We start from the raw sequence: 24,014 nt of genomic DNA, 5'->3' as shown, positions 1-24,014 counted from the left end.
ATACAAAAACAAAATTAGCTGGGCATGGTGGCAGGCGCCTGTAGTCCCAGCTACTCGGGAGGCTGAAGAAGGAGAATGGCGTGAACCCGAGAGGCAGAGTTTGCAGTGAGCTGAGATTGTGCCACTGCACTCCAGCCTGGGTGACAGAGCAAGACTCCGTCTCAAAAAAAAAAAAGGAACTGCTATCTAAAAATAGATGAACAATTTTGAAGACCCAATAAGAAAACAAGCCATTTTTTTAAATGGACAAAAGATTTAAACAGACATATCATCAGGGAAGATACACAGATGACAAATAAGCACATGAAAAGATGCTCAATATCATTATTTATTAGTGAAGTGCAAATTAACACCACTATGAGATACCACTATAAACCTATTAATAGCTTTTTAAAAATTGATGATACCAACTGCTGACCAGGATGAAGAGTTGCCGGAAGTCTCATACATTGCTGGTGGGAATAAAAAATGGTGCAGCCATTTTGGAAAACAATTTGGCAATTTCTTATAAAGTTAAACATAAACTTACTATACAATCCAGAAATTGGAGGCGAGATTGGAGGTTGGAGGGAGGCAGAGGTTGCAGTTAGCCAAGACTGTGCCACTGCACTCCAGCCTGGGCAACAGAGTGAGACAAAAAAAAAAAAAGAAAAAAAGAAAGGAAGCCTGGGCAACAAAGTGAGGCCCCATCTCTACAAAAAATTTTAAAATTAGCCAGGCATTCAGAGGACTAGGTCATATCAGGAAAATAAAAAATCAGCTTGGCGAGTTGGTGTTTGCCTGTAGTCCCAGCTATTTGGGAGAGAGAGGAGGATCGCTTGAGCCTAGGAGGTTGAGGCTGCAATAAGCAATGATCGCACCACTGCATACCAGCCTGGGTGGGAGAGAGAGACCATGACTGCATACCAGGCTGGGTGGGAGAGAGAGACCATGTCTCTAAAAGAAAAAAAAAAAAAAGAAAGGAGGTGGGCACAGTGGTTCACTCCTGTAATCCCAGCACTTTGGGAGGCTGAGGCAGGTGATCACTTGAGGTCAGGAGTTCGAGACCAGCCTGGCCAACGTGGTTGGTGAAACCCCATCTCTATTAAAAATACAAAAATTAGCCAGGTGCAGTAGTGCGCACCTGTAATCCCAGCTACTTGGGAGGCTGAGGCAGAAGAATCACTTGAGGCAGGAGTTAGAGACCAGCCTGGCCAACATGGTGAAACCCATGAGGTGGAGGTTGCAGGGAGCTAAGATTGCACCACTGCACTCCAGCATGGGTGACAGAGTGAGACTCTGTCTCAAAAAACAAAAAAAGAAAAAGAAAGGAAATTCTGACATATGCTACCACATGGATGACCTTTGAGGATATTATGATAAGTGAAAGAAGCCAGTCACAAAAAGACAAATACTATATGATTCCACTTACATGAGGTAGAATAGTCAAAGTCAGAGACAGAAAGTAGAAGGGTAGTTACCAGGAGCTTAGGGGAGGAAGGAATGGGCAGTTATTTAATGGGTACAGTTTCAGTGTTTGCTTTTTTTAATCTTTTTTTTTTTTTTTTTTTTTTTGAGACAGGGTCTTGCTCTGTTGCCCACGCTGGAGTGCAGTGGCACAGTCTCAGCTCACTGCAACCTCCACTTCCTGGATTCAAGCGATTCTCCTGCCTCAGCCTCGCAAGTAGCTGGGACTACAGGCGTGCACCACTGCACCCAGCTAATTTTTGTATTTTTAGTGGAGACAGGGTTTTGCCATGTTAGCCAAACTAGTCTCGAACTCCTGACCTCTGGTGATCCACCCGCCTTAGCCTGCCAAAGTGCTGGGATTACAGGCATGAGCTACCGCGCCTGGCTTGTTTTTTTAAATTTTGAGACAGCGTCTCACTCCGTCACTCAGGCTGAAGTGCAGTGGCAAGAACACAGCTCACTGCAGTCTCCACCTCCTGGACTCAAGCTATCCTCCCGCCTCACCCTCCCGAGTAGGTGGGACTACAGGCACATGCCATCATGCCCAGCTAATTTTGTTATTTGTAGAGACGAGGTCTCGCTATGTTGCCCAGGCAGGTCTCAAACTCCTGGGATCAAGTGATCCTCCCACCTTAGCCTCCCAAAGTGCTGGGATTACAGGTGTGAGCCACTGCGCCCAGCTAGAGTTTCATTTTTATAAGATGAAAAGCATGATGGAGATGGATGGTGGTGATGCTTGTATAACATTATGAATGCATTTGATATCACTAAACTGTACAGTTAAAAATAGTTAAGCTGGTAACTTATGTGTATTTTACCACTAAAAAGAAAACTTGCAAAAACATGAAAGAATGTCAGACACATTATACTAAGTGAAAGAGGCCAGCCACAAACAGCTACATACTGTGTGATTTCATTTATATGATATTCTGGAGAAGTTAAAACAATAGGGCCAGAAAATTGGTCTGTGGTTGCCAGGGACTTGAGTGGGGAAGAGGGAGAAGACTGACTACACCAGGGCACCAAAGAACTTTTCAGGTTAATAGAACTAGTCTATATTTTTATTGTAGTACATTATATAACTAAAAAGAGTTAATTTTACTACATGTAAACTGTATCTCAAAAGCCTAGTTTAACAAAAAAACAGAGCATTCTACCCACACCAAGAACATCCCATACAAAAGCATCCTTCATACCTTTCCTCGACTTTAATGGAGAGAGAGTTGCAGAGGTTGTGAACATACTGGGCATAACTCTCTGCCAGGGTCATATCATATGCAGTCAGATGAATATTTAAAACCCCATATTCATAATCTGTCCCCAAATTAATGGCTCTCACTTCCACTTTTCCCTTCTTCTTCTTGGGCTGAAGAGAAAACAAAGAGAGAAAGAAAATAAAGTATTATACAAGAAATTCTAATAATACTATCTTGATATTTTAAAAAGTCAATCTTTCTAATAAATTTGTTCACATTTTGCTCTCAGGTTACCCCACCTACAAACTGAAGTTCTCCTGGGAAGGAAAGAGCAGCTTCCCTTGCCATTCTAGGCTGTGACATCAGCCAATGCAAGGAGAGAATATTGCTGTCATTACTTGAATACATGAATTACTTGAACATGAATACATGTGACTGTCTTATACTATTACCTTGTTTTGAGATTCACCTCCCATTTCTGGCCTTCTATTACTCAATTTGTAAACCAATGGGATTATGTCAGATTGAAATATTTTTCTTTTTTTTGGAGACAGTCTCACCCTGTCACCCAGGCTGGAGTGGCAGTGGCGCAATCTCGGCTCACTGCAACCTCTTCCTCCCCAGTTCAAGTAATTCTCATGCCTCAGCCTCCTAAGTAGCTGGGACGACAGGCGCACCCCACCACACCTGGCTAATTTTTCGTATTTTTCGTAGAGATGGGGTTTCACCATGCTGCCCAGGGCAGTCTCAAACTCCTGAGCTCAGGCAATCCACCCGCCTCGGCCTCCCAAAGTGCTAGGATTACAGGTGTGAGCACCACACCTAGCCTAGATTAAAATATTCCTAACCCATATATGAATTAAGGGGTCTATGAGCCCCCCAATATTTTTTTTTTTTGAGATGGAGTTTCACTCTTGTCGCCCAGGCTGGAATGCAATGGCGCAGTCTCAGCTCACTGCAATCTCTACCTCCCGGGTTCAAGCGATTCTCCTGCCGCAGCCTCCCAAGTAGCTGGGATTACAGGTGCCTGCTACCACACCTGGCTAACTTTTGTAATTTTAGTAGAGATGAGGTTTACCAAGGTTGGCCAGACTGGTCTCGAACTCCTGACCTCAGGTGATTCACCCACCTAGGCCTCCCCAAGTGCCGGGATTACAGGCATGAGCCACTGCTCCTGGCCAAGCCCCAAAATTTATATGCAAAATTTTACGTGTACATGTTTCTGAGGAGAGAATCCTGAGTTTTATCAGAATCATGAAAAAAAATTAACAGAAAGGAATCTCAGCATTAGTTCTCTTCTACTCCTAGCTCGAAATTCTACAATTGTCTACACAGCATTCCTTTTGAGAACTGAAAGGTAGAATAATTATTTGATTTCTTCCTTTTCTGTCATACAAAATATTGCTTCACTACATATCAACTTGTGTAGGCTGCTGTAAAAAGTTAAAATGAAGGCCGGGCGTGATGGCTCATGCCTGTAATCCCAGCACTTTGGGAGGCTGAGTTGGATGGATCACGAGGTCAGGAGTTCAAGACCAGCCTGGCCAACATGGTGAAACCCCATCTCAACTAAAGATACAAAAAATTAGCCAGGCATGGTGGCACATACCTGTAATCCCAGCTACTCAGGAGACTGAGGCAGGAGAATCACTTGAACCTGGGAGGCGAGGTTGAAGTGCGCCGAGATCACGCCATTGCACTCCAGCCTGGGTGACAGGGCGAGACTCCATCTCAAGGGAAAAAAAAAAAAAAAAAGTTAAAACAAAGCCTGGGAAAAAATATTTAACACAACATACTTCAGAAAGAAGAAAGCACCTCAACCGAAAATAATCTAACCTAAATGCCCATAAAGAGAGGGACTTATAGCTGGGTACAGTGGCTGACACCTGTAATCCCAGAACTTTGAGGCCAAGATAGGAGGATAACTTGAGCCAAAGGGTTCAAGAGCAGCCCTGACAACATAGCTAGATCCCGACTCTACAAAAAAAATTTTCTTAATTAGCTGGGCATTGTGGCAAGTGCCTGTAATCCCAGCTACTCAGGAGGCTCAGGTGAGATGATGGCTTGAGTCTGAGGGGTTGAGGCTGCAGTGAGCCGTGGTCACGCAACTGCACTCTAGCTTGGGCAACAGAGTGAGATCCTGTTTCAAAACAGAAAAGGAGGGAGACTTATTAAGTAAATTATGCAGCTGTAAAAAGAAATAAGGGGCCGGGCGCGGTGGCTCACGTCTGTAATCCCAGCACTTTGGGAGGCCGAGGCAGGTGGATGATGAGGTCAGGAGTTCGAGACCAGCCTAGCCAATATGGTGAAACCCCGTCTCTACTAAAAATATGAAAATTAGCTGGGCACGGTGGTGTGCGCCTGTAGTCCCAGCTGCTTGGGAGGCTGAGGCAGGAGAATTGCTTGAACCCGGGAGGCGGAGGTTGCAATGAGCTGAGATCCCGCCACTGCACTCGAACCTGAGCGACAGAACGAGACTCCATCTCTAAATAAATAAATAAATAAATAACCACTTCTTTATGTACAGATACTGGAAAGGTCTTTAAGATAAAACAAATGATAAAAGCAAACTGTAGAATAATGTGTTCAAAATGTTGCCACACATATAAAATGGGGGAGCTGGAAGAGAATAGATATGTGTGTGTGTGCATGTGTGTAATTACATACATGCTTATTTGCTTGCATATTTAAAAAATATCTCTGGAAGCATGTACAAAAATAGTATCAGCTAGGCACAGTGGCTCACGCCTATAATTCCTGCACTTTGGGAGGCTGAGGCAGGCAGACTGCTTGAGCCTAGGAGTTCAGGACCAGCCTGGATAACATGGCAAAATCCCAGCTCTGCAAAAAACATAAAAATTAGCCAGCCGTGGTGGTGCACACCTGTAGTCCCAGCAACTTGGGAGGCTGAGACAGGAAGACCGCTTGAGCCTGGGAGGCAGAGGTTGCAGTGAGTGGTGATTGAGCCATTGCACTCCAGCCTAGGCGACAGAGTGAGACCATGTCTCAAAAACAAAAATAAAAACAAACCCCCCCCCAAAAACTAGTATCATTGGCTGTTTGTGAGGGAACTAGGTGGCTGGGGTCTGGGGGTAGGAATGAGAATTTTAAACTATTTTCTTCTGTTTTTAAAATTTTCTAATAGTGTAAATATCTTATTAATCTAAAATTAGAATTTTAAAATCTATTATGTTTGAATTTTAGTAAATTTTTATTGCATTAATATGCAAAAATACATAAATAAGTTACACCTCAATGAATTTTCACAAAGTGAAAGTACCTCTGTAATCAGTACCCTAGACAAGAAACAGAACATTACCAGTACCCTAAAAAGATCTCCTTTCCCCAAATTAGTAACCACTATCCTGACTTATGAAACCATAGAGTTATTTTGCATGTTTTTGAAATTCATGAAAATGGAATGATAGATACATTCTCTTTTGTGTCCGTCTTCTTTCATTCATTAGGTTCATAAGATTCAACCAGGCATTATGTGGAATGGCAATTCTTTCCTTCTCATGTGCTACTAGTCCACTGTATGAATATGCCACAATTTATTTATCCTTTCTACTGTTGGTGGAAATTTGAGTTATTTCCAGTATGGGGCCGTTATGAATAGTAGTGCAACCAATGTTCTAGTATGTATCTTTTAGTGAACATATGTATGCATTTCTGTTGGGGGTGTACCTGGGAGCTGAACTACTGAGTTACACAGTATGAACAGGTTCACCTTTAATAGACACTCTCAAACAGTTTTGTAGAGTAGTTTCCAATTTAGACTTCCACCAGCAGTGTATGAGAGTTCTAATTGCTCTACATTCTTCCTAACACTTAGAAAACAGTATAGTCAGGTTTTCTTGTGGGTTTCTTTATTTTAGCCATTTTGGTAGTGGTAATGCAATGAGATTTTAACTAGCATTTTCTTTATATCTATTGAGCCTGAGCACCTTCCCATATGATTACTGGCTATTTGGATACTATCTTTTGTAATCTGCCTATTCAAGTATTTTGCTCATTTTAAAAACTGGGTTGTCTGCCTTTCTCTTATTGATTTGTAGAGGCTCTTTATATATTCTAAACATGATCCTTTGTACATGCTGCAAATATCTTCTCCCTCTCTGTACCTTCCCTTTTTACTTTATTTTTATTTTATTTTATTTTTTTGTGAGACAGGGTTGGCCGGGTGTGGTGGCTCATGCCTGTAATCCCAACACTTTGGGAGGCCGAGGTGGGTGCATCACCTGAGGTCAGGAGTTCAAGACCAGCCTGGCCAATATGGTGAAACCGCGCCTCTACTAAAAATACAAAAATTAGCTGGGCGTGGTGGCGGGTGCCTGTAGTCCCAGCTACTCCAGAGGCTGAGGCAGGAGAATCGCTTCAACCTGGGAGGCAGAGGTTGCAATGAGCTGAGATCACACCACTGCACTCTAGCCTGGGTGACAGAGCGAGACTCCGTCTATAAAAAAACAAAAAACAAAAAACAACAACAGGGTCTTACTCTGTTGCCCAGGCTGGAGTTCAGTGGCACAATCACAGCTTACTGCAGCCTCGACCTCCTAGGCTCAAGTGATCGTCACACCTCAACCTCCTGAGCAGCTAGGATTACAGGCATGTGCCATTATGCCCAGCTAATTTTTGCATTTTTTTATAGAGACAAGGTTTTTCCACGTTGCACAGGCTGGTCTCAAACTCCTGGGTTCAAGTGATCCGCCAGCCTTGGCCTCCCAAAGTATTAGGATTATAGGCATAAGCCACAGCTTCCAGCCCCCTTTTAACTTTATAATGGTATATTTTGATGAGAAGCTATTTTTTATTTTTATTTATTTTCTCTTTTTCATTTAACTTGTCACTGACAAAACTGAGTTTTTTTTTTTTTTTAAGGACAGGGTCTCACTATATTGCCCAGGTTGGAGTGCAGTGACACAACGGTAGCTCACTGCAGCCTGGAACTCCGGGTCTCAAGTGATCCTCCCGCCTCAGCCTCCCAAGTATCTGGGACTACAGTGCACATTATCATGCCTGGCTCATTTTTAAAATTTTTCATAGAGATGGAGTCTCACTCTGTTGCCCAGGCAGGTCTCAAACTCCTGACCTCAAGCGATCCTTCCACCTCAGCCTCCCGAAGTGCTGGGATTATAGAAGTGAGTTACCACACCAGGCCTGAAGTTGAAATTAAGTTCTTATTTTTAATGTAGTCCAATGTATTCATTTTTTATGGTTATAGGGATTTTTGTGTCCTGTTTAAGAAATCTTTGCCTACCTTAAGATCATGGAGACATCCTTGTATTTTACCTTCTAGCAGTTTTATTATTTTAATATTTACATTTAGATCTACAATCCATCTTTAAGTCATTTCTGTGTGTGGCGTGAAATAGGGTCAAGAGTCATTTTTTGTTTTCACATGATCATCCAGCCGAAATGACCCAGCCACACTACTTTACAGTGCCACCTATGTCATATAACAAGCACCCAGAGATATGTGCATTTGTTTCTCTACTCTTCTGTTCCATTGGGCTATTTGTCTATCCATGAGATAATACCACCATGTCCTAATAATTGGAGATTTATAGTAAGTCTTGCTATGGGGCTGAATTATTTTTTTAAGAAAAAAAGAAAAAAAAACTATCCCTACTGATATGTCTTAAGTCACCCCATCTAATAGCCAACAGTCTAGGGGCTTCCACAGCAGCATTGTTCCTAACAGAGCACCTGGAATGGTTCCCTTACACTGCTGCTCTGAAGGTCAACCTGTCAAGAGCAGGAAGCCAATTTGAGGAAGCACAGAGAAGACAAAGAAATGGTCCTTTTACAAGGCCAGTAATACTGATGATAGACCTGATCTCACAGGAATGTTTTGAGAACTGAACAAAATACTATATGTAAAATGGTTAATACAATCTGTGGCACATAAACACTAAACATTAACTTTTATTATTATTTTCACTTTATATTCCTCCTATCTAGCACAGGGCCCAGCAAAGAGAAAACATACAATGAGTCATTATTTTAAAATTTTAGAATAGGAAGGAATTTAGAGATGCTTTTGTCCTGGTTCTTCATCTTTGCAAGGGAAGAATATGAAGCCCAAACAGATAAATGTGTTCCCCAGAATCACGAAGCCAGACAAGACAGACCCCAGGAACTAAAATCCAGACCTCCTGATCCTAGTGCAGGAATTTTTCCTCTGCATTACTAAAGTTCTTAACAGTGGTGGCCACCCCAGGGTGCTAGACCTTGCGGTGAGTGGGAAGCCAACCTCTAGAAACCAACCACCAACATGCAGGCATTTGGCTCTCTCCTCTTCAGAGCCCAACACATTCATGGCCAAATGCAGCAATCAGGACTTCTCATCGTGACAGGCAGCACTGCAGTAAGAGCTGTCTAGAATGCTGAAGTCAGAATGCAATGGAGAGTGGCTGAAATTTTCCAGCAGAGAGGGGAGGAGCTTCTCTGAAGCCTGTAGGAGGCTTTTCTTAACCACAGAAAATGCCAGGACTCTCCAAAGGTATTGCTTTAGGGGAACAAAGAAAAGAAAGCTGATCCCAGTGTCCATCTTGGCATCTCATTTGCTTTCCCATGTTGGCCTAGATCTACCTGAACCAATTCACATTATCAAGATCCCACTGTGATATTACAATACATATTTCAGTTCTGAGCCAGGGCACAGCATAGCCAGCAAGAGCTTAACTGCATATAATACCAGATGCCAGTTTCTGTCATTTTATCTACACAATTTTTCTCACATCCATCCCATTCTCTCAATGCCTACTGATTGAGTTCAGGACTTCATGAATGCCATGAGGAACTATTAAAGATATATCTGTGGGCCAGGAGTGGAGGCTCATGCCTGTAATCCCAGCACTTTGGGAGGCCGAGGCAGGCGGACCATGAGGTCAGGAGTTCAAGACCAGCCTGACCAACATGGTGAAACCCCATCTCTACCAAAAATACAAAAAAATTAGCCAGGCGTGGTGGCGGGTGCCTGTAGTCCCAGATACTCAGGAGGCTGAGGCAGGAGAATCGCTTGAACCCGTGAAGCAGAGGTTGCAGTGAGCCAAGATCATGCCACTGACTGCACTCCAGCCCGGGCAACAGTGCGAGACTCTGTCTCTAAATAAATAAATAAATAAATCTGTGCAAAGGATATACATGAATAAAGCTGTGTTTTGGGAAGCCCAACCTGACTGCACATGAAGGCCAGCCAGGCAGGAAAGGAAAGGAAGTTAGGAGAAACGTAGTAGGGAGGATGGACTACTGTCCATCATCAAACGTTGGCACTCCTATGGCCTAGATTCACTAAGGGATGGCCCAGGATTGTCATTCTTAGGTCCTTGTAGGACTGCACTCTGGTCCCCCAAATAGACTATAGGGTAAATTATGAAACAAGTTTTGTACACAAATGTTCACATTATTACCCCTATTTCACAGACAGAAAACTGAGGTCCTCTGAAGGTAAGTTATTTGCCCAAGGTTACTGAGAAACTTTGCTGGAAAGAGCAGATAAAGAAAGGAATCAAATTAGAATCATAGCCTGTTACAGCCAGAAAGGATCTTAGAGATAATTTAATCTCTCCTTCCCCCTAATTCTACACAAGGGGGAAGTTGAGACCCAGAAAAGGAAAATGGCTTGTGTAAGGTTTAACAGCAAGACAAGGGCAAAGGTAACAACTTTATGTCTATCCAGAACTGGAAGCTGAGTCTGCAGCCCCAAGCCCAGGCTCTCTCCTTTAAAGTGATAGTATCTACCCATCGCTATAAGTGACATTCTCCAGGGTGAGAAAGTTGGATAAGAATTAATCCATTATCTGAATCCTCAAACAAAAAGGCTGATATGCCTGCAGCATATTCAGCTTCCAGAAATTCTAGTGATGAAAATAACAAAATTTACACCCGAGGATTTGAATGATTTGGGGTTAAGTACTATCAACAGTCCATAATGAGCTGTGAGGTATGCAGCGATTGAGTATGTTTATAACCTGGTGTTATACACTTGAGAGACATATGGACAAAAGGCCTGGCTCTGACTGGGGTAGCAAGGAGGCATGGCCTGATGCTATATAAAGTGCACTAGACTTAGATGGAAGCCACAGAAAATCTGACCTCAAATCCTAACTATCTGCTTAGTCACTACATGACACTGTGTGACCTTTCTAGGCCTCAGTTTCCTCATCTGTAACAGCTAAAGTTATTGTGAAGCTTAATAGAGTGAATTTATATGAAATGGAAATACTAGAGATGTTAGATGAATTCTGGCCATCCTCATTCCAAATATCGGCTCTGAAAACTTCTAGCCACGTGGGCACATCATTTAATCTTTCTCTGAGTCTTGGATTCCTCAAACAGGGTCTTGAATAACCATATGATACTCTAAGGCTTAAATAATATATATGTTTATAAGGCTATAAAATGAAATAATGTCTTTAAAGCCTGGCACATAGTACTTACAGCACCTGGTATATAATAATAAGTGGCATTTTTGGAAGGGCACGGTGGCTCATGCCTGTAATCCTGGCACTTTAGAAGGGTGAGGTGGGAGGATCACCTGAGGTCAGAAGTTCGAGACCAGACTGGCCAACATGGTGAAAACCCGTCTCTACTAAAAATACAAAAAATTAGCTGGGCATGTGGTGGTGAGTGACTGTAATCCCATCTACTTGGGAAGCTGAGGCAGGGAGAATCGCTTGAACCCAGGAGGTGGAGGTTGCAGCCAGGCGCCTGTAGTCCCAGCTACTCAGGAGGCTGAGGCACCAGAATTGCTTGAACCTGGGAGCTAGAGGTTGCAGTGAGCCGAGATGGTGCCACTGCACTCCATCCTGGGTGACAGAGTGAGACCCTGTCTCAAAAAAAGTAAATAAATAAAAATAAAACTACAAAAATTAGCTGGGCATGGAGGTGCACACCTGTAATCCTGGCTACTCAGGAAACCGAGGCACAAGAATTGCTTGAACCCAGGAGGAAAAGGTTGCAGTGAGCCAAGATCGCGCCACTGCACTCCAACCTGGGCGACAGTGAGACCCTGTCTCAAAAAAATAAATTAAAAATAAATAAATAAATGGCATTTTAAAATTATTATTATTTTGAGACAGAGTCTCACTCTGTCACTCAGGCTAGGGTGTAGTGGCATGATCTCGACTCACTGCAACCTTCACCTCCAGAGTTGAAGCAATTCTTGTGCCTCAGCCTCCCGAGTAGCTGTGATTACAGGCATCTGCCACCATGTCTGGGTAATTTTGTATTTTTAGTAGAAATGGGGTTTCACCATGTTGGCCAGGCTGGTCTCAAACTCCTGAACTCAGGTGATCCACCAGCCTCCGCCTCCCAAAATGCTGGGATTACAGGTGTGAGTCACTGTGCTCTGCCATAAATGGCATTTTTAAAAGAGGTTGTGTAGTGTACATAGATAGGACATTACTGTTACTACTATATATTGGAGATAAGCATGGTCCCAATTTCCAACTAGTAAATTTTACGAAATGAAGAATGTATTAAGCAACTGCAGTTTGCAAAGTGCTAGTTCAATTACTCTAAAGAAAGACAGGGTGGGCGCGGTGGCTCACGCCTGTAATCCTAGCACTTTGGGAGGCCGAGGCAGGCGGATCACGAGGTCAGGAGATCGAGACTATCCTAGCCAAAATGGTGAAACTCCATCTCTACTAAAAATACAAAAATCTGCTGGGCATGGTGGCACGTGCCTGTAATCCCAGCTACTCAGGAGGCTGAGGCAAGAGAATCGCTTGAACCAGGGAGTCGGAGGTTGCAGTGAGCCAAGATCACACCACAGCACTCCAGCCTGGTGACAGAGCGAGACTTCGTCTCAAAAAAAAAAAAAAAAAAAAGACAACATGGCTGGGCACAGTGGCTCACACCTGTAATCCCAGCACTTTGGGAAGCCAAGGTGGGTAGATTGCTTGAGCCCAGAAGTTTGAGACAAGCCTGGGCAACATGGCAAGACCCCATCTCCACAAAAAAATTTAAAAATTAGCCCTGTGTGATGGCGTGTACCTGTGGTCCCAGCTACTCAGGAGGCTGAGGCTGGGGGATCGCTTAAACTCAAGAGTTTGAGGTTGCAGTGAGCTATAATCACACCACTACACTCCAGGCTGGATGACAGAATGAGATCCTGTCTCAAAAAAAAAAAAACAGGCCAGACATGGTGGCTCACACCTGTAATCCCAGCACTTTGGTAGGCTGAGGCGGGCAGATCACCTGAGGTCAGGAGATTAAGACCAACCTGGCCAACATGGTGAAACCCTGTCTCTACTAAAAATACAAAAAATTAGCTGGGCATGGTGGCACACGCCTGTAGTCCCAGCTACTCGGGAGGCTGAGGCAGGAGAATCACTTGAACCCGGGAGGCGGAGGTTGCAGTGAGCCGAGATCGCGCCGCTGCACTCCAGCCTGGGTGACAGAGCGAGACTCCGTCTCAAAAAAAAAAACAAAAAAAAAAACCAGCAAAAACAAAATAAAACAAGAACAACAAAAACAAAAAACAAAGAGAAAAGAAACATGATGACCACTGCTTCCCCTTTCCGCTTCCTGCTGCCTGAAATGTGAACATAGTGGCTAAAGAGGGAGCAGCCATCTCAAACCATGAGATAGAAGTAATATGATAAGTATGGCAAAACAAAAAGCTGGAATATCTACTTATACTTTTATGTCAGAAAGAAAGAAATTTCTATTTTACTTAAGCCCCTGGTATTGTAGGTCTCTCTATTATGGTAGCTAAACTACTACCACAATTCATGTAGGAAGGTACTATGTCTCATTAATCTTTCTATTCCTAGAGCCCCAAATTATTAAATGTTGAGTTGAACTGAAATGAATTCTAGGCCAGCTGTGGTGGCTCACACCTGTAATCCCAACACTTTAGGAGCCCAAGGCAGGCATATCACTTGAGTCCAGGAGTTCGAGACCAGCCTGAGCAACATGGTGAAACCCCATCTTTACAAAAAATTAGCCAGGTGTGGTGGGGCGCACCTATAATCCCAATTACTTAGGAGGCTGAGGTGGGAGGATTACCTGAGCCAGAGAGGTCAAGGCTGCAGTGAGCCATAATCATGCCACAGCACTCCAGCCTAGATGACAGAGTGAGCCCATCTCAAAAAATTAATTAATCAATTTAAAAAATAAAAATATTAGCAAGGCGTAGTCGTACACACCTGTAGTTCCAGCTACTCTGGAGGCTGGGGTGAGAAGATCACTTGAGCCTGAGAGGTTGAGGGTACAGTGTGCTATGATTGCACCACTGCACTCCAACCTGGGCAACAGAGCAAGACCCTGTCTCTGAAAAAAATAATAATTAAAAAAACAAAAACATAACTGAGTTTCTCTGTCAATATTTGTTTTTATCAAGTAAAGCTGATAGGAGGAATGTGTGAAATTTAGAAAATTCTATCCATTCATTTAATATGTTTCTAAAATGGGAAAGACTATTATTATTCATCTTGAGGAGGGGTTTGGCTCTAGTACCACCAATGTTCCAAGGGAATATGGCTTGCAAGGATCTGAGATAATGGATGCCAAAGTACTTTTAGAATGGAAAAGGGTCATTACTATTATTCATATCAAACATGAATCCCTCTAAAAATCAGACACTATTGTAATTTGGTGACACAGGGCAAGACTCCCAGGGGCTGCAGACCAGGAGCTCTAATGGCACAGGCAGTCAGGTCTTCACGTGAGTCACTCCCTGTACTTAGAAAAGCCCTGGGGAGCTTTTCTATGTTCTTCACAGCCCTGTGTCAACAGCTACCCCAAGCAACTAGATACTGCCAGAGGAGTGTCCAGTTCAGCTTTACCTACCCAGTGCCAAGAATACAGGTGGCATTTAATAAATGTTTGTTGAGCTGAACTCCGTAACACCTTCACTGACCCTTTTGGGGAGAATTGCTTCTTTTTTGTTTTTAAAATTGTATGGATTTACCATGTAAAACATCGTGAAGGAATTGCTTATCTTTGTTCTCTTGATATTTAGTTTATTCCCTAGTAAAGCACTTGCCTCAAGTATTTAGTTACACTTTTGAGCACTAACTTTCCCAGCAGACTTTACACTTTTTACAGGACCATGTCCCGTTCACCTGAGCATCATGGATACTCAGCACAATGCATGGCATATAGTAGATGCTCAATTATGGTTTTTCTTTTAATGAGCTACAAGAAATAAATGAGTGAAAACATGAGTGCTAATATAAAGTAACTCTCCCTAAGCCAGTCCTATAATACATGTCTAGCCCTACAGTTTCTAGACCAGCAAAACCAATTGTTTTGTTACCAAGAAGGTAGGACTGGATGTGAGGGCGATCTGGCTGCAACATCTGTCACCCCATTGATTGCCAGGGTTGATTCAGCTGATCTGGCTGGCTAGGCGGGTGTCCCCTTCCTCCCTCACCACTCCATGTGCATCCCTCCCAAAGCTGCAAGCTCAGTAGAAGAGGACAACCATCCCCAATAGAGGAAGACCGGTCCTTAGTCAAGGGTATATGACTAGCTGTGCTCCCCTGCTACAACCTCCAGACAAGCTCTCAAGAAGCCAGGACTATAACCATAAAGTGATTCTGACTTTCTGATTTATCTGGGAATGATTCCAGTCTCCTCAGAGATTTGTGGCTGTGACAGCTGATCTATTATGGGTGCTACAACAAAATAAAATAGGTGACAGAAATGGCAGATACCTCCTTTCTATCAACACTAAAAACAGCATGAAGTTTCCAAAAGAAAAGCTACCTTGATTCCTAGGGGCCATTCTGCAAAGAGGAAGAAAATTGTCTGAGTTACAGAAGATATACCTAACTCTCTTGCTCCAAGGCCTGGAAATGAGAACATATGACAAGGTGACAGAAATTCATGTTGCCTCCATTTCATCCTTCCACATCTTTCTCTTGGCAATTTTCAGATTATTAAGCTGCCATTACCCCAAGACTGGAAGCTGGACAACAGCTGAGGTCAAGTAACTAAATGGTCTTGGGAAAAATGACCCAGTGCTATACAAATGTGATGACTATTATTATTTTTACTTTTTTTTTTTTTTTTTTTTTTTGAGACAGAGTTTCACTCTTGTTGCCCAGGCTGGAGTGCAATGGCATGATCTCGGCTCATTGCAACCTCCACCTCCCCGGCTCAAGCGATTCTCCCGCCTCAGTCTCCCAAGTAGCTGGGATTACAGGCATGCGCCACCATGCCCAGCTAATTTTGCATTTTTAGTAGAGATGGAGTTTCACCATGGTGGTCAGGCTGGTCTCGAACTCCTGACCTCAGGTGATCCTCCCCCCTCGGCCTCCCAAAGTGCTGGGATTATAGGCATGAGCCACCACGCCTGGCCTTATTTTTACTTCTGTGAAATATAAGTCACTCCAAATATCTGAAGCCTTTTTAAATTCAACTGAATGATGCAGGGCCTTTAAGGAATAATGAGATCTACACTTTGAGACAGGATGCTAGGTCTGGAGATACGCTCTAAAATATGATCACTCACTGCCACAGGTCAAGATGGGTCTTACAGGATGAGCACCATAGAGAAAAAAGGGAGGGTATCATCCCATACAAAGGAAAGAGCATGTGCAAAGGCAGAGAGGCAGGAAAGAGCATGGGTGTATGAGAAAACATGTCTGAAATACAAGGTGCAAAAAGGGAAATCACTGAGAAGGAGGTCAGGTACATACTGTAAGCGAGCTGAAATACCACATTTATTGTCATGCCCCATGCTGCCACCTGAGAAAAAGCCTCATTTTTATCTCTCATCTACTCCCTCAAAAAAGCATCAAGGACAAGGACACGGGATGGAGGGATGGGAAACTATTCAGAGTTATAAACCGGGCCATGTAAGAAAAAGATAAAAACAGGCTGGGCACGGTGGCTCATGTCTATAATCCCAGCTCTTAGGGAGGCCAAGGTAGGTGGATCACCTGAGGTCAGGAGTTTGAGACCAGCCTGGCCAACATGATGAAACCCCATCTCTACTAAAAATACAAAAATTACCTGGGCATGGTAGCGCATGCCTGTAATCCCAGCTACTCAGGAGGCTGAGGCAGGACAATTGCTTGAACCCGGAAGGCGGACATTACAGTGAGCCGAGATGGCACCACTGAACTCCAGGAAGACTCCATCTCAAAAAAAAAAGAAAGAAAGAAAGAAAGAAAGAGATAAAAACAGTATTAACAAGGAAAGCTGAGATGAAGTAGATACCCCCTTCCTTCCCAAGATGCGTAAGTCATAAGACTGAGTGTGGGACCTTTCGAAGGAGGAATGAAGGGATTATACCAGCAGAAATGGGACAAGGGTTGGATACTTTATGCATGAGCATGAGAATTTACTCGTCTTAGGGATGTTGGGCTCACAAGAGTAGAGGGGCCAGACTGAGACCCAGAGAGGAAAAAATGGGAATCTGGCCAACTTATTTTTTTTCTAGGCTTAGGGAGAGAAAGAAAGGAGGCCACAAAAGATTCCATCTAGTTTAACTAGTCCAGTTCCCCAGAGGGATAAGAGACAGGAACTCAGGACAGAGCCTCTGTAAGGTGGTGAATGAAAGCTTTCACTGTGCTGTCCTGTGCAGGAAGCCACGAGGCTGGAGCAACTTACTCCAGTATCCAGCACTACTGTACTAGCCACCCTGGGACACTGAATAACATCAGAGAAAAGCCTACAACCCTAAACAAAGGGAGCATCCAATCCATTCAAGCAACCAAGGTCATCTGGAGCCAGGTGTTTGCAGATAGTGGGTTATATTTGATAAATCTGATTTATAAAACCACAGGGCAGCTCCAATAACCACATTTCAGTCCAGCTTAATCAATATTTACTGTCCTCTCCTTGATGCTAGGCCCTGTGCCGGACACTGAGGATATGAAGAAAACTGAGACTTCTACCCTTAGGGACCTCATAATCTAAAATAGAACATAGTCATCAAAATAGATGGTTAAGGCCAGGTACGGTGGCTCACTCCTGTAATCCTAGTACTTTGGGAGGCTGAGGCAGACGGATCACTTAAGTCCTGGAGTTTGAGACCAGCCTGGGTAACATGGCGAGACCCCCATCTCTACAAAAATATAATGAGCCGGGTGTAGTGGTATACTCCTGTAATCCTAGCTACTCAGGAGGCTGAAGAGGGAGAATCATTTGAGCCTGAGAGGCAGAGGTTGCAGTGAGCTGAGATTGCACCACTGCATTCCAGCCTGGGTGACAGAGCGAGAACCTGTCTCAAAAACAAAAACAAAAACAATAAAAACACTCAGATGATTAAAACATAGAGCAGTTTTCCTAGGACAGAGGAAGCACAAGAACTCTGGCAGCTCATGGTAAGAAAAGCAACTCAGGGCTGGGCATGGTGGTTCCCACCAGTAATCCCAGCACTTGGGAGGCCAAGGTGGGAGGATCACTTGAACCCAGGACCGGAAGACTAGCATGGGCACTATAGTGAGACCCCATCTCTATAAACATTTCTAAAAATTAGCCAGGCTTGGTGGCATGTGCCACCAAGTAGTCCCAGCTACTGAGAAGCTGAGGCAGAAGGATCGCTTGAACCTAGGTATTCAAGGGGCAGTGGGCCAGGATCACACCACTGCATTCCAGCCTGGGCAGCAGAGTGAGACCATGTCTCAAATTTAAAAAAGAAAAAAAAAAAGAAAGAAAGAAAAGTAACTTAGTGCAGAGAATCCAGGAAGGTTTCTTAGAAGGAGAAATTTGTCTGTGTCCCTCCTCACCCTGCTTTCTCACTGAGATTTAAAGGTTGAAGAGGAATTAGCCAGGTGAAGAAGGGGAGGTCTTCCAAGTAGACAGAACAGCTTGTGAGCCTTGAAAAAGTATAATGACTTGGAGGAAAAACAAAAGGCCCAATACAGTTAAAGCGTGGTATCCGGGAGAGTGGAGAAGAGGCTGGAGAGGAAGGTGGGGACAGACGGCATTAAGCTTCCTTTTATACCATGTTAATGGAGTGGGTCAGAGCATGACATATGCAGAAAATTATCTGAGAGAGAAGATTCTAAGACATTTTTTTAAAACAGCCAAAAAAGTCCCCCTCAAACAAAACTAATTTTATTTCCCACTATTTTATGTGGGACTTTTAGAAGGGGGATATCTCACTGATGTTGTACACTGTTTTACTTAATATTTTGGGAAGTAACTGCCTCTGACTTCAACTGAAGAAAACACTTTTTTGTTGCAAATGTAATGTTTTTGTAATGGTGTCAGCAAATAAAAGGATGCTTAGTATTTAAAAAAAAAAAAAAAGAAGGGGGATGTCTCAAAATAAAACAACTTCAATAATTTACTCTAAGGTGTCACAACTCCAAAAAAGTAAACCATTCCTTCCGAATTTTAATAGCGCTTTGTATCTTCCTTTTAGCACTTGTCACTTTCTGCCTGGAAGTATATTGTCTGTGTCTTATCTCTGTTGGTTTAACAGCTCCCTCTGAGAATGAACCATGTCTTGTTCATCCATTTTGTAAAATTATTTTGCTTGCCAGGCATGGTAGCTCATCTCTGTATTCCTTGCACTTTGGGAGGCTGAGGCAGGTGTATCACTTGAGCTCAGGAGTTTGAGACCAGTCTGGGCAACATGGCAAAATACCATCTTTACAAAAAAATACAAAAACTAGCTGGGTGTGGTGGTGCATGCCTGTAGTCCCAGCTGCTCAGGAGGCTGAGATGGGAGGCTCTCTTGAGCCCAGGAGGCAGAGGTTGTAGTGAGCCGAGATCGCACCACTGCACTCCAGCCTGTGCGGCAGAGAGATTCTATTTAAAAAAAAAAAAAAAAAAGAATTATTTTGCAACTCACTCTTGAATAGGCAAGGCATCAAGAGTTCCTAGCACATAATAGATATTCAATAAATATTGCACAGCATCGTGAAGTTACATGACATACAAGTTGAAATTCTAGTCTTAGAGATATTCTAATCCAGAATTTCTCTACCTTTGTGAAAAGTCTGATAAAAACTATGGACTCTCTTCCCGGAAAAATTCACCTACAACAAACATTTTACATATAATTTCAGGACCCGCCATGCCTAGACGGGGAAGGTTGACTTACCCAAAGTCACAAGGCAGAAAAGTGGCAGAACCAAGCCTAGAACACAAGTTTCCTTGTTCCTAATTCAGTAGACTTCCCACTACAAAGGAACAATTTTAGTAGGGCATTTGTTTCCTGCTGGGAGCCTGGCTAATACAGGCCTGATAGGTGGTAATGTTCTTCTCCTGAAATTCTTTACTGTAAGGATGAGCTCAGAAGAACACGGCAAGGTTAGTGGTTTCTAAGGCCCAAATTCAGTGGAATTGGACCTTGCCAAGAAGAGAGAGGTAAATAGGAAATATGTGTGGTTGCGTGGGAGCATTAAAATAAGCTAAAGAACCAAGAGATATTGAAGTCTCCCCAAAATCTCCCCCCACTGTACTGTTTGCAGGAAGTGACAGGCTTGAGATTGAAAGACAGATCTTATACCTTGCATGCTGTATCCACCCCAAAAGAAAATCCTCTGCACACACACAGAAATCTAACTGGAGCCAAAGAAATGGGCTAAATAATTTCATAATGCTTAGAACTAATATCCACTTACCTGTGATAAAGGATTCAAGAAGCACATAATTTATTTATCTATTTATTTTTGAGACAGAGTCTCACTCTGTTGCCCAGACTAGAGTACAGTGGCGTGATCTCGGCTCACTGCAACCTCCACCTCCTGGGATCAAGTGATTCTCATGCCTCAGGCTTCCGAGTAGTTGGGATTACAGGCACGCGCCACCATACCCAGCTAATTTTTGTATTTTTAGTAGAGACGGGGTTCCTGCCATGTTGGTCAGGCTGGTCTTGAACTCAACCTCAAGAGATCTGCCTGCCTCAGCTTCCCAAATTGCTGGGATTACAGGTGTAAGCCACCACACCCAGCCTATTTTAGATTTGAAAATACAATAAGAGGCCAGGCTTGGTGGCTCATGCCTGTAATCCCAGCACTTTGGGAGGCTGAGGCAGGCAGATCACCTGAGGTCGGGAGTTTGAGACCAGCCTGGCCAACATGGAGAAATCCCGTCTCTACTAAAAATACAAAATTAGCCAGGCTTGGTGGCGCATGCCTGTAATCCCAGCTACTCGGGAGGCTGAGGCGGGAGAATCGTTTGAACCCAGGAGGTGGAGGTTGCAGTGAGCCGAGATCGCACCATTGCCCTCCAGCCTGAGCAATAAGAGTGAAACTCCATCTCAAAAAAAAAAAAAAAAAAAGAAAATACAGTAAGAATCAGTTATCCCAGCACTTTCAGAGGTCAAGGCAGGCAGATCACTTGGGGTCAGGAGTTCAAGACCTGGGCTGGTCAACATGGTAAAACCCCACCTCTACTAGAAATACAGAAATTAGCCAGGTGTGGCAGCGGACGCCTATAATCCCTGCCACTTGGGAGGTTGAAGCATGAGAACAGCTTGAACCCGGGAGCCAAAGGTTGCAGTGAGCTGAGATCGTGCCACTGCACTCCAGCCTGGGCAACAGAGCGAGACTCCATCTCAAAAAAACTAACAAACAAAAAAGTATCAGTTATATGGCTGAAAATATCAGTCTACCTCTACTTGCCACAACTCATTCACTCAACTAAACTGAATTATCATTTCCATTATGAGGTCCATACTGAAATAAGTACACTACTAGGAAGATTTTTTTTTAAGTATTACAAATAATAAAATCAGGCCAGCCATGGTGGCTCATGCCTGTAATCCCTATGCTTCCGGAGGCTGAAGCAGGAGGATCACTTGAGGCCAGGAGCTTGAGACCAGCCTGGGCAATACAGCAAGACCCTGTCTCTATAAAAAAATTTTTTTTAATTAGATGGGCATGGTGGCAAGAACCTGTAGTACCAGCTACTTGGGAGGCTCAGGTGGGAGGATCACTTGAGCCCAGGAGATCAAGGCTGCAGTGAGCCGTGATCATGCACTGCACTCCAGCCTAGGTGACAGAGCAAGACCCTGTCTCAAAAAAAAATAAAAATAAAAACCATTTGCTTTTTACTATTATAACCTGGCCTAGGGATAAGATTGGAAGTTGGTAGAAACATCTCCAGTCTGGAAATTCCAAATTAATAACTGGCAAGGATTGAGAGGCAACTTTATCATTTCTAGCTCCAATATTATCAAAACTATACATATCTGATCTTCAGGTTTTTGCAAAAGCTGCACATTATCCTTTTCCAAAAGACTCCCCCTGCCCGTTACCTCTTCTGCTTTAATTAAGTGCTTGTACTTTCCAATGCCGTGGGTGGGCTTTGTCTTGTAGGGCCGACTGATACTTAGTAGAATTCCACCTAAAAGAGAGAAAATAAGACAAACCTGTTTTTTTGTTGTTGCTATTATCGTTGTTTTTTAAGAGACAGGGTCTTGCTCTGTCACCCAAGCTGGGATGTAATGCCATCTCATAGCTCATTGAAGCCTCGAACTTCTGGTACAAGACAGTCTCCTGCCTCAGCCCACACCCCCCTCCCCGCCGACCCCAAGTAGCTAGTACTACAGGCATGTGCTACCATGCCCAGCTAATGTCTTTTATTTTTTGTAGAGCTGGAGTCTTGCTATGTTGCCCAAGCTGGTCTGCAGCTCCTCCCACCTCAGCCTCCCAGGGTGCCAGGATTACAGGTGTGAGCCACCACACCTAGCTTGGACTACAAATTTAAAAAAGAAAAAAAAATATGTATACACACACACACACACACACACACACACACACACACACATATATAAAAAACAAGGTAACAGTAAGGATTTTTAAAAGTAATCTCGGAGATCTTTCTAAGCATGAAACAAAATCTAGAAATCAAATATTAATAAACTTAGTATATAAAAAGTTAAAACTTCTGTTCAACAAAAAATAAATAAATAAATGAAGTTAAGGACTAGATGACAAGAAAAAGTACAAAGCATACGTAACAGAGAAATGCTAATTTCCTTAACATACAATAACTATATTAAAACCTCTTTCTAAGCTCCTCTGGGAACAGCAGATGATTTGAGGGGACAAATTCTCCACTGCAGGACTGGGAAGATTTGGTGGTAGCTGACCTCTTGTTGGTTTAAGGAGCCATAGATATTTCTTGATCCTGGACGGATTCTCAGTTTGTCCCCTTATTCTCTCCTTTTGGCTCCTAGAATATGCACGATCCCCACTACTCATCTTTCTTTGAGAAATTCTCTCCTGATAAAGCCACTGGCAGTAAGGGGATAAAATACATTCTCAGAGGGCTCTCATCTCTTCTTGTTCCTCAACAGGCAATAATCCTTTTGAGGTTTTCTTTTTTTCTTTTGAAAAAAAAATCCTTTCGCCTTCCCTTTTGAAGTTTTCTAACTGTGACTATATAGAGAAAGAGACAGGCAGCAAAAATAGCCAGCAAAGAGGAAGAGCATAGAATTCCATAAAGTTTTTTTGTTTTTTTTTTTGAGATAGAGTCTCATTCTGTAACCCAGGTTGGAGTGCAGTGGTGCGATCTCAGCTCACTGCAACTTCCACCTCCCAGGTCCAAGCAATTCTCCTGCCTCAGCCTCCTGAGTAGCTGGGATTACAGGCACGCGCCACCACACCCGGCTAATTTTTCTATTTTCAGTAGAGTCGGGGTTTCACCATGTTGGTCAGGCTGGTATCGAACTGACCTCATGATTCGCCCACCTCGGCCACCCAAAGTACTGGCATTGCAGGCGTGAGCCACCGCGCCCGGCCATACAGTTTTACAAAACATCTAACTTGATTTATTTGTGCTGATCTGAAAACAGCCTCCAACAAATATCGTTAAGTGAACAACAACAAAAACAAAAACCAAAAGTGTAGAACAGTATGTAGGTATGCTACTACTGGATTAAAAAAATAGGGTCTTGGCCAGGTGCGGTGGCTCATGGCTGTAATCCCAGCACTTTGGGAGGCCGAGGCAGGTAGATCACGAGGTCAGGAGTTCAAAACCAGCCTGACCAGCATGGTGAAACCCCATCTCTACTAAAGATACAAAAATTAGCTGGGCATGGTGGTGCACGCATATAATCCCAGTTACTCAGGAGGCTAAGGCAGGAGAATCACTTGAACCCAGGAGGCGGAGGCTGCAGTGAGCCAAGATCATGCCACTGCACTCCAGCCTGGGTGTCAGACCCAGACTCCGTCTCAAAAAAAAAAAGGGGGGTCTTTATATATATATACATTGTGGTAGACCCAGGTAGCCATAGTGGTAGCATGTGTCTGTAGTCCCAGCTACTCAGGAGGCTGAGGCAGGAGGATTGCTTGAGACTAGGAGTTTGAGGTTGTAGTGCAAATAGCTGCTGCACTTCAGCCCGGGCAACATAAGAAGATCCTGTCTCTAAATTAAAAAAAAAAAAAAAAAAAAACAGAAAAGAAAAGATAGGGTAGAGATAAGAAACTGAAATCAGATCAG

General features: G+C 43.4%; 1 protein-coding gene and 1 pseudogene across 10 annotated transcripts in view, besides 1 other annotated feature; one reads left to right on the top strand and one right to left on the bottom strand.

The window, feature by feature from the left end:
- MRPL48 (mitochondrial ribosomal protein L48) overlaps positions 1-24,014 on the bottom strand; it is a 77,260-nt gene that overhangs the window by 17,512 nt on the left and 35,734 nt on the right. For 7 of the 10 annotated variants that reach the window (NR_134659.2, NR_134660.2, NR_134658.2 and 4 more), the window contains 2 exons: positions 21,826-21,914; positions 2,646-2,815 (listed from right to left, as the gene is read on the bottom strand). Coding sequence is in view for 6 of the 10 variants with exons in the window: in XM_047427121.1 (XP_047283077.1) it covers positions 2,646-2,815; positions 21,826-21,914 (259 nt within the window). In the remaining 4 variants the exon portion in view is untranslated. Of the gene's footprint in view, positions 1-2,645; positions 2,816-4,254; positions 4,296-21,825; positions 21,915-24,014 lie in introns of those variants that run through there. The other 3 variants (XM_047427122.1, NR_134661.2, NM_001318500.2) reach the window with 3 other exon arrangements.
- Positions 14,932-15,171, top strand: RN7SKP243 (RN7SK pseudogene 243; annotated as a pseudogene).
- Positions 18,931-19,131: a silencer, noted in NCBI's record as "peak1351 fragment used in MPRA reporter construct". NCBI's record gives its function as "represses an SCP1 promoter by STARR-seq MPRAs in K562 erythroleukemia cells {active_cell/tissue: K562}" and the evidence as "EXISTENCE:reporter gene assay evidence [ECO:0000049][PMID:32103011]".

Source organism: Homo sapiens, chromosome 11, assembly GCF_000001405.40.
Source record: "Homo sapiens chromosome 11, GRCh38.p14 Primary Assembly".
Taxonomy (NCBI): Eukaryota; Metazoa; Chordata; class Mammalia; order Primates; family Hominidae; genus Homo; species Homo sapiens.
This window is presented reverse-complemented; position numbering and strand designations above follow the sequence as displayed.